The 16532-nt window shown below is 40.4% G+C and overlaps 1 protein-coding gene across 3 annotated transcripts in view; it reads left to right on the plus strand.

Moving 5' to 3' along the window:
* Window positions 1-16532, plus strand: part of CERS6 (ceramide synthase 6) — a 318863-nt gene that overhangs the window by 185461 nt on the left and 116870 nt on the right. Inside the window, exon 1 of one of the 3 annotated variants that reach the window (XM_005246440.6) lies at window positions 2508-2589. The exons of the other annotated variants lie outside the window; for them this stretch is intronic. The gene's annotated coding sequence lies outside the window, so the exon portion shown is untranslated. Of the gene's footprint in view, window positions 1-2507; window positions 2590-16532 lie in introns of those variants that run through there. 3 annotated transcript variants of the gene reach the window in all.

Here is a 16532-nt window from a genome sequence, read left to right on the forward strand (position 1 = left end):
TTCAGTACTTAAGTATGAAGTATCATGTCTGAGTGCTTTCATATCAAATTTATTTCCATCCAGTTTTGTAAGCTGCTCACAGCAGGGCCTCATACCCCGCATGAATCTCCTATAGCACTTGATATCCAGCCAAATAGATGGTTCATACTTGAGTAATGGAATAAAAAAAAAAAAGCCACTTTGCTATTTTGTAATAATTTTGTTAAAAATTTTTTGGGGAAAACAACTTTAATGACTAAAATCAAGTATGGTATAGTAATTAAGTGAGAATTCTCATTATCTCTTGTTACCCCATTTCCCATTACTTTGCCTTTTTAAAAAATGTATGTGGAATTAGCAGTAAAAATGATCTACTGTAGGCAGGGGGCAGTGGCACACACCATAATCCCAGGTCTTTGGGAGACTGAGGCAGGCATATCACTTGAGCCCAGGAGTTTGAGACCAACCTAGGCAATGTGACAAAACGCCGTCTCTACAAAAAAATATAAAAATTAGCCAGACACTGTGGCTGAGGCGGGCAGGTCTATTGAGCCCAGGAGGTTGAAGCAGCAGTGAGCTATGATCGTGCCACTGCACTCCAGCCTGGGAGACAGAATGAGACCCTGTCTCAAAAACACAAAAAAGATCTACCCTCAGAATGTTAGTTCTGAATAGTTGGTTAGTTGGGAATTTTCCAGTATTTTTGTCTTTTGTCTTGTGTTTAAAGGAGAGTGTGTGTGTACATACACATATACATGTGTGATCTGGTTAGTGAAGCTGTGGTGGCTGATATCCAGGGTCCCATCACTAAGAAGTGAGTGAAGGATGCTTCATGATGTCTCCATTACTACAATGTTAACAGAGTAATCAGGGAGTATCAGACTGACTCTTGGGCCCTCAAAATGGAAGATCAGGTATTCTTGCCTCTCCCTGGCACAGCACAAGCTTTCCTGGTAGTATAATGAAAGTTGCAGAATGGAGCATAACCATTTTAGCATTTCACTTGCCCTCTCTTTCCAGCGTACAGTAAAGGCCTATATTGCTTAGGAGCATTAATTGATAATATTCTAGGAATTGTGCTTATAATGACTTACATACTAGAGGACACTTAGTGAAAACAGCATAAGAAATGTATTCTGTTTCCACAGCTAATAGCCTTGTTGTGAATTGTCAGGATCTACTTTGTGGATGCATGTTCCTCTCCATAGCAGACCCTTGATTAGGGGGTTAAGAGTAAATGATGTGGTATCATAACACAGTTTCTTAATAGGATGCATGATGTTCAGTATTGGCGGAAGAGTTATATTTGGCACTAGCTATTAGATCCGAATGGGCGGAGGTAATAACTATACCGCAGTGTTCTGCCCACGTGTGTGTATGTGCATGCATCACTGCTATCTGAAGCATGAAGCAAGAACTAGCTCTGTTTACTTTGTTCCTCCTAATCACAGCCCCTTCCATCCTCACCTCAATTTTTACTTAAGCTAGTACTTGAAGCTATAAAGAAATTGATAAAGTGATACTTCGCTAATTAGTTTGATTTCTTGTGAATTATAAAAAAAACTGTAAAAACAAAATCACCAAATGCTATGGGATACAACTTGAGTGAGGCCCTATAAACCTAATTTATAATTTTGTTGTTGTTGTTGTCGGGTGGGGCTAGGCAGGAAAATGATTCCCCACTTACCTTTTCTTATTAGCCAGTTGTTTGACTTTAGAGAATGGACTCCTCTAGTTGATTTCTATGTAGTACAAGAAGTGTTGATAGCATGATGTTTTGTCAAAGACTAGCAAGATTCTGATTACTGAATGCTACCACCAAAAATGCACCATTCTATACATCACTTATTATAACTATTGTAGCCCTTTAGATGGGAGTGTAGAAACTAAAAATAGAGTTTACGTCTTGATACCAGTTGATCATTATTGCCATCTCCCTCAGGAGGGAGAATTCCTTTCCTTGCGTTTTTCGGCTCACAGTGGCTGCCTGTATTCCTTGGCTCATGGCAGCTTCTTCCATCTTCAAAATCTATCACTCTAATCTCTACTTCTGTCATCAGTTCGCCTTCTCTTTTGTAGTCAAACCTCCCTCTGTCTCCTTTCTATACGCCCGGATAATTTCTTCATCTCGAGGTCCAGAATCACATCTGCAGTTTCTTTTGCCATATAAGGTAACATTCACAAGTTCCAGAATTTAAGATGTGGATATCTTTGGGTGCCATTATTCAGCCTACCATACCATGCCGGTCTCCTACTGGTGTCTCCTGATCTCTGAGAAGGCATTCGCTAGTATATCCAGAGGGAAATGCCATTTTGTTAAGAACTGATATAGCATAAAAATCTTTCTGTGGAAAGGTCACATATTCTTTATCCTTAAACAGCTTACAGGCTAATAGGAGATATGACTTGCTTGCAAGTATTTTTGGCATCAGGCAGCACATGGTAAGTGCTGTAGTGATGATGAAAATAGATGTCTAGGATTACAGAAGGGGGAGGGAGGATTTCAGATAGGGTGCTCAGGGAAGTCTGAACTGAGCATGTGACTGAGGATGAAGGAAGCTTCAGCTCAGGAAGATGAAGAAAGGAGGTGAAGGGGAATAATAGAAAGTGGTAAGTCTGGAATGTGGGAAGAGTTGTGTTTGGGGATGGGGAAGAGAGGAGGCAGCAGATATGAGAATGATGAGAGGCAAGTGAGGCAGATGAACAAAGGTGGGGTCAAGCATTCAACTTCTGTTTAGTAGGGAAAGCATAAAGAAATGACAGATGATTGAGCTGGAGAAAGGAAAGCTGGTCACAGTGTGCAGAATGAATTAAAATTCACAAAGACTGGAGGCAAGGAGATCTGTGTTAGCCACTGCAGCAGCCATGCTCCTTGTTGTCCCTGGCATTGGTCCACATGCAGGTGAAACAGCTTCTTGTGTATCACTTGGAGATTTTGTTAGGCATACCCAAGAAAAGTCAGCTGACAGCCAGTTTCAGGCAGGTAAACCATTTCCTCCTTGTTAGGAAGACTTACCAGGCACTGAAGAGGTAAGACTGAACTTAAAAAGAGAAAGAAGAGATAAGCAACATGTTCTCAACGTATTAAAAGTAACTTCTAGGCTGGGCGCGGTGGCTCATGCCTGTAATCCCAGCACTTTGGGAGGCCAAGATGGGCAGATCACGAGGTCAGGAGTTTGAGACCAGCCTGACCAACATGGGGAAACCCCGTCTCTATTAAAAATACAAAAATTAGGCAGGCATGGTGGTGCACACTTGTAATCCCAGCTACTCAGGAGGCTGAGGCAGGAGAATTTCTTGAACCCGGGGGCGGAGGTTGCAGTGAGCCGAGATCACACCACTGCACTCCAGCCTGGGTGACAGAGCGAGACTGCATCTTAAAAAAAAAAAAAAAAAAAAAAAAAAATATATATATATATATATATATATATAGAGAGAGAGAGAGAGAGAGAGAGAGAGAGAGAGAGAGAGAGAGAGAGTAACTTCTAAAAGGGGAGAAAAGACAGAGGGGAATTTTTTAAAAGATTTATTCTGTTCTCCCTCCATCCCACCTTACCCAAGAAGAATGACTACTCACTAACTGGCAAAACTGTGGGGTTTTTTGTGATTTCCTTTTCCCACAGAGATGAGAAAGCACTTTTTCATTTAGAGTCTCTAACTTAGCAGGAGAGGGGCGAAAAGAGGTACATCCATATTTTAATGAAGATAATGAATATAGTTTTTTGAGTTTGTTTTTGGAGAGGGAGAGAAAACCCTGTTCCTTATTTTGCCTTTTTAAAAAAGTTATGCTTAGTATAAAATAAAAATAATTTTATTTAAAAAAATCTTTTAACTTATATTTTAGGTTTGGGGCTACATGTGAAGGTTTGTTACAGAGGTAAACTCATTATCACAGGGGTTTGTTGTATAGATTATTTCATCACCCAGGTATTAAGCCCAGTACCCAATAGTTATCTTTTCTGCTCCTCTCCTTCCTCCCACCCACCACCGTCAGGGAGGCCCCACTGTCTGTTGTTTCCTTCCTTGTGTTCATAAGTTGTCATCACTTAGCTTCCACCTATAAGTGAGAAGATGTGGTATTTGGTTTTCTGTTTCTGTGTTAGTTTGCTAAAGATAATGATCTCCAGGTCCATCCATATTCCCACAAAAGACATGCTCTTGTTCTTTTTTCTGGCTGCATTGTATTCCTTGGTGTATACAAACCACATTTTCTTTATCCAGTCTGTCATTGATGGCTATTTTGGTTGATTCCATGTCTTTGCTATTGCAAATAGGGCTGCAGTGAACGTTCACATGCATGTGTTTTTATGGTGGAATGATTCATATTCCTCTGGGTATATACCCAGTAATGGGATTGCTGGGTTAAATGGTAGTTCTGCTTTTAGCTGTTTGAGGAATTGCCATACTGCTTTCCACAATGGTTTAACTAATTTGCACTCCCATCAACAGTGTGTAAGTGTTCCCCTTTCTCTGAAACTTTGCCAGCATCTGTTACTTGTTGACTTTTCAAAAACAGCTATTCTGACTGGTGTGAGATGGTATCTCATCATGGTTTTTATTTGCATTTCTCTAACCATCAGCAATATTGAGCTTTTTTTTTCATATGCTTGTTGGCCACATGTGTGTCTTCTTTTGAAAAGTGCCTGTTGATTTTCTTTGCCCACTTTTTAATGGGGTTGCTTTTCTCTTGTAAATTTGTTTAATTCCTTATAGATCCTGCATATTAGACCTCTGTCAGATGCATAGTTTGCAAATATTTTCTCCCATTCTATAGGTTGTTTGTTTACTCTGCTGATATTTTCTTTTGCTGTGCAGAAGCTCTTAAGTTAATTAGATCCCACTTGTCAAGTTTTGCTTTTGTTGCGATTGCTTTTGGTATCTTCGTCATGAAATCTTTGTGTGTTCCTGTGTCCAGGATGGTATCACCTACGTTGTTTTCCAGGGTTTTTATAGTTTTGTGTTTTGCATTTAAGTCTTTAATCTATCTTGAGTTGATTTTTGTATATGGTGTAAGGAAGGGGTCCAGCTTCAGTCTTCTCTGCATATGGCTAGCCAGTTATCTCAGCACCATTTATTGAATAGGGAGTCTTTTCCCCATTGCTTGTTTTTGTCAAAGATCAGATGGTCGTAGGTGTGTGGCCTTATTTCTGGACTCTCTATTCTGTTCCATTGGTCTATGTGCCTGTTTTTGTACCAGTGCCAGGATATTTTGGTTACTGTAGCCTTGTAGTATAGTTTGAGATCAGGTTAACGTGATATCTCCAGCTTTGTTCTTTTTGCTTAGGACTGCCTTGGCTATTCAGGCTCTTTTTTGGTTTCATATGAATTTTAAAATAGCTTTTTCTAGTTCTGTGAAGAATGTCATTGATAGTTTGATAGGAATAATATTGAACCGGTAAATTGATTTGGGCAGTGCAGCCATTTTAATTATATTGATTCTTCCTATCCATGAACATAGGGTGTTTTGTTGTTTGTGTCTTCACTGATTTCTTTGAGCAATGTTTTCTAATTATGATTGTAGAGATCTTTTACCTTCCTGTATTCCTTGGTATTTTATTCTTTTTATAGCAGTTGTGAATAGGATTGCTTTTTTGATTTGGCTCTTGGCTTGACTGTTGTTGGTGTATAGGAATGCTAGTGATTTTTGTCATTGATTTTGTATCCTGAAACTTTTCTGAAGTTATCAGCTGAAAGAGCTTTTGGGCCAAGCTTTTGGGTTTTCTAGATATCGAATCATGTTGTCTGCAAACAGAGATACTTTGATGTCCTCTTTTCCTATTTGGATGCCTTTTATTTATTTCTTTTGTCTGATTGCTCTTGCGAGGACTTCTAATACTGTGTTGAATAGGAGTGGTGAGAGAGATCCTTGTCTTGTGCCAGTTTTCAAGGGGAATGCTTCCAGCTTTTGCCCATTCAGTATAATGTTGGCTGTGGGTTTGTCATAGATGGCTCTTATTATTTTTAGGTATGTTCTTTCAATACCTAGTTTACTGAGAATTTTTAACATGAAGGGTGTTGAATATTATCAGAAGCCTTTTCTGCATCTGTTTACATAATCATGTTGCTTTTGTCTTTAGTTCTGTTTATGTGATGGATCACATTTATTGATTTGCGTATGTTGAACCAACTTTGCATCCCGGGGATGAAGCCTACTTGATCATGATGGATTAGCGTTTTGAGGTGCCACTGGATTTGATTTGCACGTATTTTGTTGAGGATTTTTGTGTTGATGTTTATCAAGAATATTGGCCTGAAGTTTTCTTTTGTTGTTGTGTCTCTGCCAGGTTTTGGTATCAGGATGATTGCTGGCCTCATAGATTGACATGGGGGAAGAGTTTCTCCTCCTCGATTTTTTGGTATAGTTTCTGTAGGAACGGTACCAACTCTTCTTTGTAATCTGGTAGAATTCGGCTGTGAATCCATCAGGTCCTGGGCTTTTTGTTGTTGTTGTTGGTAGGCTATTTATTACTGATTCCATTTCAGAGCTCGTTACTGGTCTGTTCAGGAAATGAGTTTCTTTCTAGTTCAGTCTTGGCGGGTATATGTGTCCAGAAGAGATGTGTCCATCTCTTCTTGGTTTTCTAGTTTGTGTGCGCAAAGGTGTTCCTAGTAGTTTCTGATGGTTATTTTTATTTCTGTGGGGGTCAGTGGTAACATCCCCTTTGTCATTTCTAATTGTGTTTATTTGGATCTTCTCTTTTGTTTTCTTTATGAATCTAGCTAGTGGCCTGTGTATCTTATGAATTTTTTCCAAAGAACCAACTTCTGGATTTGTTGATCTTTTGAATCATTTTTCATGTCTTGATTTCCTTTAATTCAGCTCTGATTTTGGTTATTTCTTGTCTTCTGCTAGCTTTGGGGTTCATTTGTTCTTGTTCCTTTAATTCTTTCAGTTATGATGTTAGGTTGTTAATTTTAGATCTTTCCAACTTTTTGATGTGGGCATTTAGTGCTATGAGTTTCTCTCTTAACAGTGCCTTAGCAGTGTCTCAGAGATTCTGGTATGTTTTATCTTTGTTCTCATTCATTTCAAATAACTTCTTGATTTCTGCCTTAATTTCTTTATTTCCATGTAATTGCATGATTTTGAGCACTTTTCTTAGTGTTGACTTCTGTTTTTATTGCACTGTGGTCCGAGCTTATGTTTGGTATGATTTTGGTTCTTTTGCATTTAGTGAGGATTGTTGTATGACCAATTATATGGCCAACTTTAGAGTATGTGCTATGTGATGATGAGGAGAATGTATATTCTGTTGTTTTGGGGTGGAGAGTTCTGTAGAACTCTATCAGATTCATTTGGTCCAATGTTGAGTTTAGGCGCTGAATATCCTAATACAAATAATTTTAAATATACTTTAGTTGTATGGTACTTAGGGGAGAGAAGGAAACTGATTTTAGAGAAGGATGGGTCGTTAGCTGCAGCAGCCTTGGGCTTCCTCAGCATACTGCCTCAAGCTGTACTGTGCTTATTTCTAAAGTGTGATGTTTCATTGATCCTCTCCCTGGCCCTCCGAGGTCTGTGTTATTACTCCACTTAAAACAGAAGGAAACAGTCTCAGAGAGGTTATGTAACCTTAAGTGACAGAGCTGGCATCAGCCCCAGGTCGTGGGCTTCCTTATCCACATTCATCACTGTCAAATGGCCTCTCCTGGTAAAAATACTCCATCTCAGCGTGAAGTCAACCCCTAAAAAACAAACCAATTCCATGATATTGTATTACGTCTTAATGTGGATTATTTATGGCAGGAGATGGGAAAGGAATGATTTTTAAAATATTTTTAGCCTTTAAAGTATTTAATTTCTACTAAAATTATGTAGTATGCAGTGTCCAGAAATTCTCCTTCTGTATTTTTTTAACCAAGAAAAGCTTTGGCTGTACTAGAAAGAATAATATTTCACTTTGTTATGGGAAAGGTTTGCTTTATCCCCCCGTAGCAGCTCTGTTTTGCCACTGGTAGACCTAAGTGCTATCACCCCTTCCTACCTTGGCTTACCCCTCTGATTACACAAGTCTTTGTTCACATTCCATCCTCCTTTCTCTTCCCTCCCCTCCTCCCTCTGGGCTATCCCAAGTCCCTGCCCTCCCCTACCCCATCACACTCTTTCCCCCTCGTAGAGGACTCTGAAGAGTCTGTGACTGTACTTGTCACAGGGTTCCCTATTTGCTTCCCCAAACTTACTGTAAGCCCCTCAAGGATGGTTCCTGGATATCAATACTCTATAAATAGTTGAACTAGATCTGCTTTTTATCTAGGAGGTATATGATATTAAACTGATGGCATGTTAAGTAAGGTATATTGAGAATTGAGACAAATTTAACAAATAGGGGAAAAAAGAAATAGGTAAGTGAGACTTAAAAAAAACAAACACAAAAACAAAGGAGGAGCTGCTGTTCCACGTAGCAGTGCTTTACCTGTAGCTGCTCACTTGCTCCAGGTTTAATTCTGACATCAGGGGAATAGATAGCTGAAGCCAAAGAAACCTCTGTTTGGGTAGGGTCTGGTATATCCTGTTTTTTCTTTTTGCTTTCTTGCAGACACTGGAGTTGGTGTCTCATGAGAGGAGGGGAAGGACAGGAATCACAAATGCCTGAGTGTCCAACAGTCCCAGGAGGGAGCTGGAGGGAAAGGTGGCTCCACTCTGTTACTGTCTGTCCGTTCACCAGCACATCATTGACAGAGCTTGGGAATTTATTACTACAACCTTCCCTCCTGCTCTGAACATTGAGAGTGGCTCATCAATTGTTAAATCCTTTACATTTCTTTGGCCCTACCAACAAATACTGATTCCTTCTTTAAATGAAATAGCCCAACTCCTGAAGCCTCTAAATTACTACCAAATTAATTCATAGAGAGATCTTCGTGCAACTTGAAGTACTCTCCCAGCCCCCTTTGTCTATTTATTACACTCCAAAGGCAGTATCTGATTGCTTTTATCTATCTTATCTGACTTCCGGTGAATTTTTTTTTTTAAATGAAATTTGCCAGAAGTCCACTAGATCTGCGCTGGTGGCAGCTACATGGTGCATTCATATACCCCTTCAATTATTATTAAAATCTTTCACAGTATTTCTGTGCAGTTTTGAATATGCATTTTGTTTTTCCTACTGTCATACAATATTGTCTTTATAAAAGCATCAACAATTATTTGTTTTCTTATATCCCATTTTTATCAGCATTACTCTTCTTGAACAATATAGAAGTAAAAAGTTTTCCTTCTGCTTTTAGGATTGTGGAAATTCTGTCAGTTGGAGAGTGGGCAGGAGTGTGAGGGGTAGCTTTGAGGAGATTGGGTGGTGAGAGAAAGGGAAGTCAGGAGAGAAAGTTTCTAGTTATAAATGAATGAAGAGGTTTTCTTGAGGCAAACAGTAAATCTGTGCTGAAATTTTTCTTAAATGGTGATAATTAGATTTTCTAACTTTTTATATACAGGAACACTTGAGATTACAAAGGGGTGTGCAGTGATGCATGCTACAGTGGGCAGTTTGGCATAGCAATCTTAGCTCCATTTTTACCTGGGTTTTCATGTCTTGTGAAGGTAGCAGTTCCTCCTCCTTTTCTTGTTTAGTCACTAAAGAAGGATGAACCATTAGAACCAAGCCACATGTTTATTTTCCAAAGTAGTCATTTATGTTCATGTTAACTGTATCCTCTGTAGCCTTTGGGACAATTATATTACACATTAATTCTGTGAATTAAAGCAAAGGGGAAATAGAAGATTGTTTAAGTAACTGTATTAGTTCGTTTTCATACTTGCTGTAAAGAACTACCTGAGACTGGGTGATTTATAAAGAAAAGAGGTTTAATTGACTCACAGTTCCACATGGATGAGGAGGCCTCAGGAAACATACAATTATAGTTGAAGGCAAAGGAGAAGTAAGGCACATTTTACATGGTGCAGGAGAGGTGTCAGGGGGAACCGCCAGACCCTTTTGAAGCATCAGATCTCATGAGAATTCACTCAGTATCATGAGAGCAGCATGGGAGGAACCACCCCATGATCCAATCACTTCCCACCAGGTCCCTCCCTTGACATGTGGGGATTACAATTTGAGATGAGATTTGGGTGGGGACACAGAGCCAAACCATATCAGTAACTTTAATCTGAGCCAGGCCTAACATACGTAAGCCCTCATCACTTTTTCCAACTATGTATCTTTTGAAAGTGTGGCTAGTATCTCAGTTACCAGGCAGTTCATAAGGCAAGGCCCTGCTACAATAGTGATTGATAATTTATTAGCTGGTAAAGCACATGTGTGCTGTGTGTTATTGTTTACAAATCTCTTTTTCATACATTATCTCTTTCTCTCACTGCCCCCCACCCCCTTTTTTTTGGCAGCTTCACAACAACCATTACATAATTAGACCTTAAGACTTAAAAAAAAAAAAGCTTGTCAGTATTGTAAATTGCAGTCACATTTGCTGATGGGCTGTTACGACTCTAATCAAATAAGCAAACTTAGTTCAACGAAATCAGTCATTAGGGTCACTAGTGGGTCTGTGGCCAGAAGCTTCACTAATTTCATAATTTTCCCTCCCTGCTGCCAGTTGACCTCCGGATTTTTGCCTCTGTTCAAGTTGGTACTCAAAATATTGCCTCTAAAAATGGAGTACCAGCTAATGATAGGAACAAGTTTATGAATAACTCTAAGTTTAATTTCAAGAGCTAAATGTTAGTTCAGTTACTAATTTATTGCTTGATCTTAGGGATTAAGCCACGTAGCCAACACCTGAGCTGCGTTTCTTTGTTTTCAATCTGAAAACTCAAACATAAACCACATAATTCATTAATGGTTTCTAAGTCCTAAGCCCTTAGCTGCTAAATAAATAAGTAGTTTTTTTAAAGCCAAGGGAAAAAAGTGTTAAAAAAAAAAAAAAGGAAAAATTAATGAATTGTTGTTTTTTTTTTAACCTTTCCTTATATTACTTGTATTTAAAGCTTAATCGGATTTGATTATTTGCAAGTAGGAAAAATAAGAGACAAGAATAAACCAATTTATTACTACATAGTAACAACAAAAACATCCTGGGAAATCTGGCCCTTTCCCCACTAAGGAGCTTTTTGCTTCTGTCTTAAAAAAAATCACGATCTTCCTCATGCACATCTGGAAGCCTCACCAATGCACAGACACGTGCTCTTTCACATTCATTCAGTTTCATTCCTTGTAAAAGTAAATGAAGAGTCATGTTGAAGAGATAACTAGGATACCCATTTTAATTCTGTGGCAAGTTGTTGACTGTATTCTTTTTCCATAGACATATTTGTCCAACAATCAGCATTTATACGTGTTGTGTATTCAGGTACATGAAGTGAATAAAATGCACATGAAGTCTAGCTTCTCTAAAGGTAGCTGGGCAATAGTCTTATCAGGTCATTGGAAGTAGAGTAAATATGAAGCAAAGTTTCTGTTGTTGTTTTTAACAGTATTGTCATGAGTATTAAAATCACTTAAAGGTCTGCAGGTCCCTCCGAAGAAAAATAGAATATGCTGACTTTGTGTTTGTAAATGACTATTTTTCCAATTGAAACCCTGAAGGGAAGAGATTTAAACTCAGGCTGCACCCCAGTGGGCTCTCCACAGCTACCATTTCCAATGGCTGCTCCACTTTTCTTGATAGGAGTCATTTTTCAACTAGATGGCTCTGACACAGATAATGGCCATCTTGATTGCATCAGGGAACTATTCATAAAACAAGGACATTCAGGCATACCTAGAATTCTTTTTTTCCTGTAACACAATGAAGGATTCTAGTTCTCCTTTCAAAGAGATTTAAGATTTAAATACCTTATGTTAAAATTACATGACCTGAGGACATTTTCTGGTGTGCTATGTTTGTTTAATTATCTTAGATATGTGTGAGTTATTGTTTTCAATTATCTCTTCCATCCTTAGGTTTATCAGCTCCACGTGACTGCCTTTAAATCTCCATTTCTATTATTTGGCTCCCTTCATTTTTATTGCTAATCTAGGACATCTCTTGTATGGACTGCTGCAGCAGAGAAATGGTATCTGCTGCCAGCAACACTAACAACTGTGACAGTAAAATTCTGCCAAAACCAATAATGAATTGGAACTTACAAATCCCTGTCTTAGCAATATGCCCTGGGACATGGAAAATATTTCTCTTTAATAAATAGTTGGAAAATCATCTGCTTGAAAGTGCTAGTCAGATGGCCCTTTTTGGCATCATATTAATATTGGAAAGAAAGGACCTTGGGCTGAGATGATGCTGATTATCAGCCATTCTGTAATGTGTCTCCCTCAATATATAATCTTCCTAATGAATTTCAAAGTTGAAACTTTTGGTTTTAGATTACTAAGCACTTAAACTGATAAACTGAGATTCCTCATGCATCTCAGGAATCAAAAGACATCAGCACCTAGGAAAAGAAATTATAAGTTGATATAGTAATATCCTATAGAATATTAGGTAAAATGATTTAGATTTTGTTTTTAGTTATTAAAATAGGTGTTGCTAAAGTCAAGGCTATAGGTAGTGTCTGTCATGAGGGCCTGTGAGCTGACTGTATATTTTTTTAAAATGTGTGTCGTAGGCCTGGTGTGGTGGCTAATGCCTGTAATCCCAACAATTTGGGAGGCCGAGGTAGGTGGATCACCTGAGGAGTTCGAGACCAGCCTAGCCAACATGGTGAAACCCCATCTCTATTAAAAATACAATTTTAGCTGGGCATGGTAGTGTGCACCTGTGATCCTAGCTACACGGGAGGCTGAGGCACAAGAATCACTTGAACCCGGGAGGTGGAGGATGAAGTGAGCCAAGATCACACCACTGCACTCCAGCCTGGGTGACAAGAGTGAAACTCTGTCTCAAAAAAACAAAACAAAACAAAAAACCCAAAAATGTATACTGTAATTCACAAGGTAAGACCTACAGAAGCACATAGAATCTTGTTGGCCATGTTGAATCATGTTGGCCACACCAGTGCAAAACCTGCTCTAAATATTCTCTGGCCATCGGTTAATAGTAGAATTTTGTACAAAAGTAATATTTTATATCATGACTATTCGAGTCCTATTACTTGAAGATAAATGATGATCCCAATGCTTATCTCATGGTTTTATAGAACACTTAACTTTTACAACAAGGCAATATAGTCTTATTGATAATCTCAAGAACACTGTAGTAGATGAAGTACCTGAAGACCAGGAAGTTTGTTTTGACCAAGGTCTCTTCTTTATACATCTCATGTACAACCAGGACTTTAACCTAAGCCTTCTTATCCTAAGTTAGTTGCTAGGCCAGTAGAGTACAGTCATGCACAAAAGCCTTTATAAATAAGGACAGTACTTACAACTCAACAGCAAGAAAACAAATAGCCTGATTTTTAAAAGTGGGCAAAGGACCTGAACAGACATTTATCCAAAGAAGACATAAAAATGGCCAACCGACATATGAGAAGGTGCTCAATATCACTAAGCAGGGAAATATAGATTAAAACCACCGTGAGATACCACCTCACACCTCTTACGATGGCTTTTATCAAAAAGAAAAGAGAGAAATGTTGGCAAGGGTATGGAGAAAGGGAATTCTAGTACACTGGTTTGGGAATGTAGATTGGTACAGCCATTGTAGAAAACAGTGTGAAGTTTCCTAAAGAAAGTAAAAATTAAACTTCCCTATGACACAGCAATCCCTCTTCTAGGTATATATCCAAAGTAGATGAAATCACCACCTCATAAAGATACCTGCACTCCCATTCTCCTTGCAGTATTATTTACAATAGCCAAGATATGGAAACAACCTCAGTGTCTGTCAGTGGATAGATAAAGAAATGTGTATGTACACACAATGGAATATTATTCAGCCTTAAAAAGGTGATCCTGCAATTTGCCACAGCGCCAGTGGACCTGGAGGGCATTATCCTAAATGAAATAAGCCAAACACAGAAAGAAAAATACTGCATGGTCTCACTTATGTGAAATTTTAAAATAGCTCAAATATACAAATACAGAGAATAAAACAGCAGCGGGTAGGTGGGTAGGAGGAGGAAAATAGGGAGAGGTAAGTCAAAGGATACAAAGTAGCAGATATGTAGAATGAACCAGTCTAGAGACCTAATGTATAGCATGAGGACTGTAGTTATTAATAGTATATTAGGGATTTTTGTTAAATAAGTAGATCTTAGCTGCTTTTATCACATGCACAAAGAAGAAACTGTGTGAGATGATAAATATGTTAATCTGCTTCATTGTAGTAACCATTTTACTGTCTATATGTATCCCATAACATCATGTTGTAAACCTCAAATATTACATGATAAACTTACGAAAAATAAATACGGATAGTATGCATTTTGACCTTCAAGAGGAAAGCCCACATCTTTCTTTGTGGGCTTGTTGCTCTTTAGTCTTCTCAAAGCTTTCCTCCTAAATAGGTCCTAGAGGGTTAGGAAGAGATTCTGCCTGGATGGTGGCAGCCACTTATTCCAAGGAAGTCATTGATCCAATAATGTGGAACAGGCATTCCTTTATAGGGGGTTAATGTGTTACTATCTAGAAGGGGCCTAAATTAAACCTTGTCAGAAAGCAAGGCTGTTCTGTAGTAAGCTTTATAAATTTTTTGGTGAAAGTTTTGTAGCTTTTAACTGATGTGGTATGTGATATTGTGTCCGGAATTGGTGGGTTCTTGGTCTCACTGACTTCAAGAATGAAGCCGTGGACCCTCGCGGTGAGTGTTACAGCTCTTAAGGTGGCGCGTCTGGAGTCTGTCCCTTCTGATGTTCAGATGTGTTCGGAGTTTCTTCCTTCTGGTGGGTTCGTGGTCTCGCTGGCTCAGGAGTGAAGCTGCAGACCTTCGCGGTGAGTGTTACAGCTCTTAAGGTAGCGCGTCTGGAGTTGTTCTTTCCTCCCGGTGGGCTCGTGGTCTTGCTGGGCTCAGGAGTGAAGCTGCAGATCTTCGCGGTGAGTGTCACAGCTCATAAAAGCAGCGTGGACCCAAAGAGTGAGCAGTAGCAAGATTTATTGCAAAGAGCGAAAGAACAAAGCTTCCACAGTGTGGAAGGGGACCCGAGCGGGTTGCCACTGCTGGCTCGGGCAGCCTGCTTTTATTCTCTTATCTGGCCCCACCCACATCCTGCTGATTGGTAGAGCCTAGTGGCCTGTTTTGTCAGGGCGCTGATTGGTGCGTTTACAATCCCTGAGCTAGATACAAAGGTTCTCCACCTCCCCATCAGATTAGTTAGATACAGAGTTTCCACACACAGGTTCTCCAAGGCCTCACCAGAGCAGCTAGATACAGAGTGTCGATTGGTGCAGTCACAAACCTTGAGCTAAACACAGGGTGCTGATTGGTGTGTTTACAAACCTTGAGCTAGCTACAGAGTGCCGATTGGTGTATTTACAATCCTTGAGCTAGACATAAAGGTTCTCCACGTCCTCACCAGAGCAGCTAGATACCTCACCGATTGGTGCAGTCACAAACCTTGAGCTAAACACAGGGTGCTGATTGGTGTATTTATAATCCCTGAGCTAGATATAAAGACTCTCCATGTCCTCACCAGAGCAGCTAATACAGAGTGTTGATTGGTGCACTCACAAACCTTGAGCTAAACACAGGGTGCTGATTGGTGTATTTACAGTCCCTGAGCTAGATATAAAGACTCTCCACGTCCCCACCAGACTCAGGAGCCCAGCTGGCTTCACCTAGTGGATCCCGCACCGGGGCTGCAGGTGGAGCTGCCTGCCAGTCCTGCGCCATGCGCTCGCATTCCTCAGCCCTTGGGTGGTCGATGGGACTGGGCGCCGTGGAGCAGGGGGTGGAGCTCGTCGGGGAGGCTCGGGCCACACAGGAGCCCATGGAGTGGGTGGGAGGCTCAGGCATGGCAGACTGCAGGTCCCGAGCCCTGCCCCGTGGGAAGGCAGCCAAGGCCCGGCGAGAAATCAAGTGCAGCGCCTGTGGACCGGCACTGCTGGGGGACTCAGTACACCCTCCGCAGCCACTGGCCCGGGTGCTAAGTCCCCCATTGCCCGGGGCCAGCAGGGCAGGCTGGCTGCTCCGAGTGCGGGGCCCACCAAGCCCACGCCCACCCGGAACTCCAGCTGGCCCGCAAGCGCCGCACGCAGCCCCGGTTCCCGCTCGTGCCTCTCCCTCCACACCTCCCTGCAGGCTGAGGAAGTGGGCTCTGGCCTTGGCCAGCCCAGAAAGTGGCTCCCACAGTGCAGTGGGGGACTGAAGGGCTCCTCAAATGCCACCGAAGTGGGAGCCCAGGCAGGGGAGGTGCCGAGAGCAAGCGAGGGCTCTGAGGACTGCCAGCACACTGTCACCTCTCAATATAATACAATATAGTAATTAAGATAGTGTGCCAAGCCAGTGGGCTGGACTTTTGAGTCTTGGTTCTGTTGTTTACTAGATGTGTGACGTGTTGCAAATTACCTAAACTTCTCTGTGCCTCAGTTTCCTTATCTGTAAAATTAGATAATAATTGGACCTACCTAAGAGCTTTATCGTTAAGGATTCAATGAGCAATGCCTAGTCCTAGTTTATACTCAATATAAATAATAATGTAAACATAGTATCAGTAACTATACAAC

The sequence above is a fragment of the Homo sapiens genome, chromosome 2 (assembly GCF_000001405.40).
Source record: "Homo sapiens chromosome 2, GRCh38.p14 Primary Assembly".
Classification (NCBI taxonomy): Eukaryota; Metazoa; Chordata; class Mammalia; order Primates; family Hominidae; genus Homo; species Homo sapiens.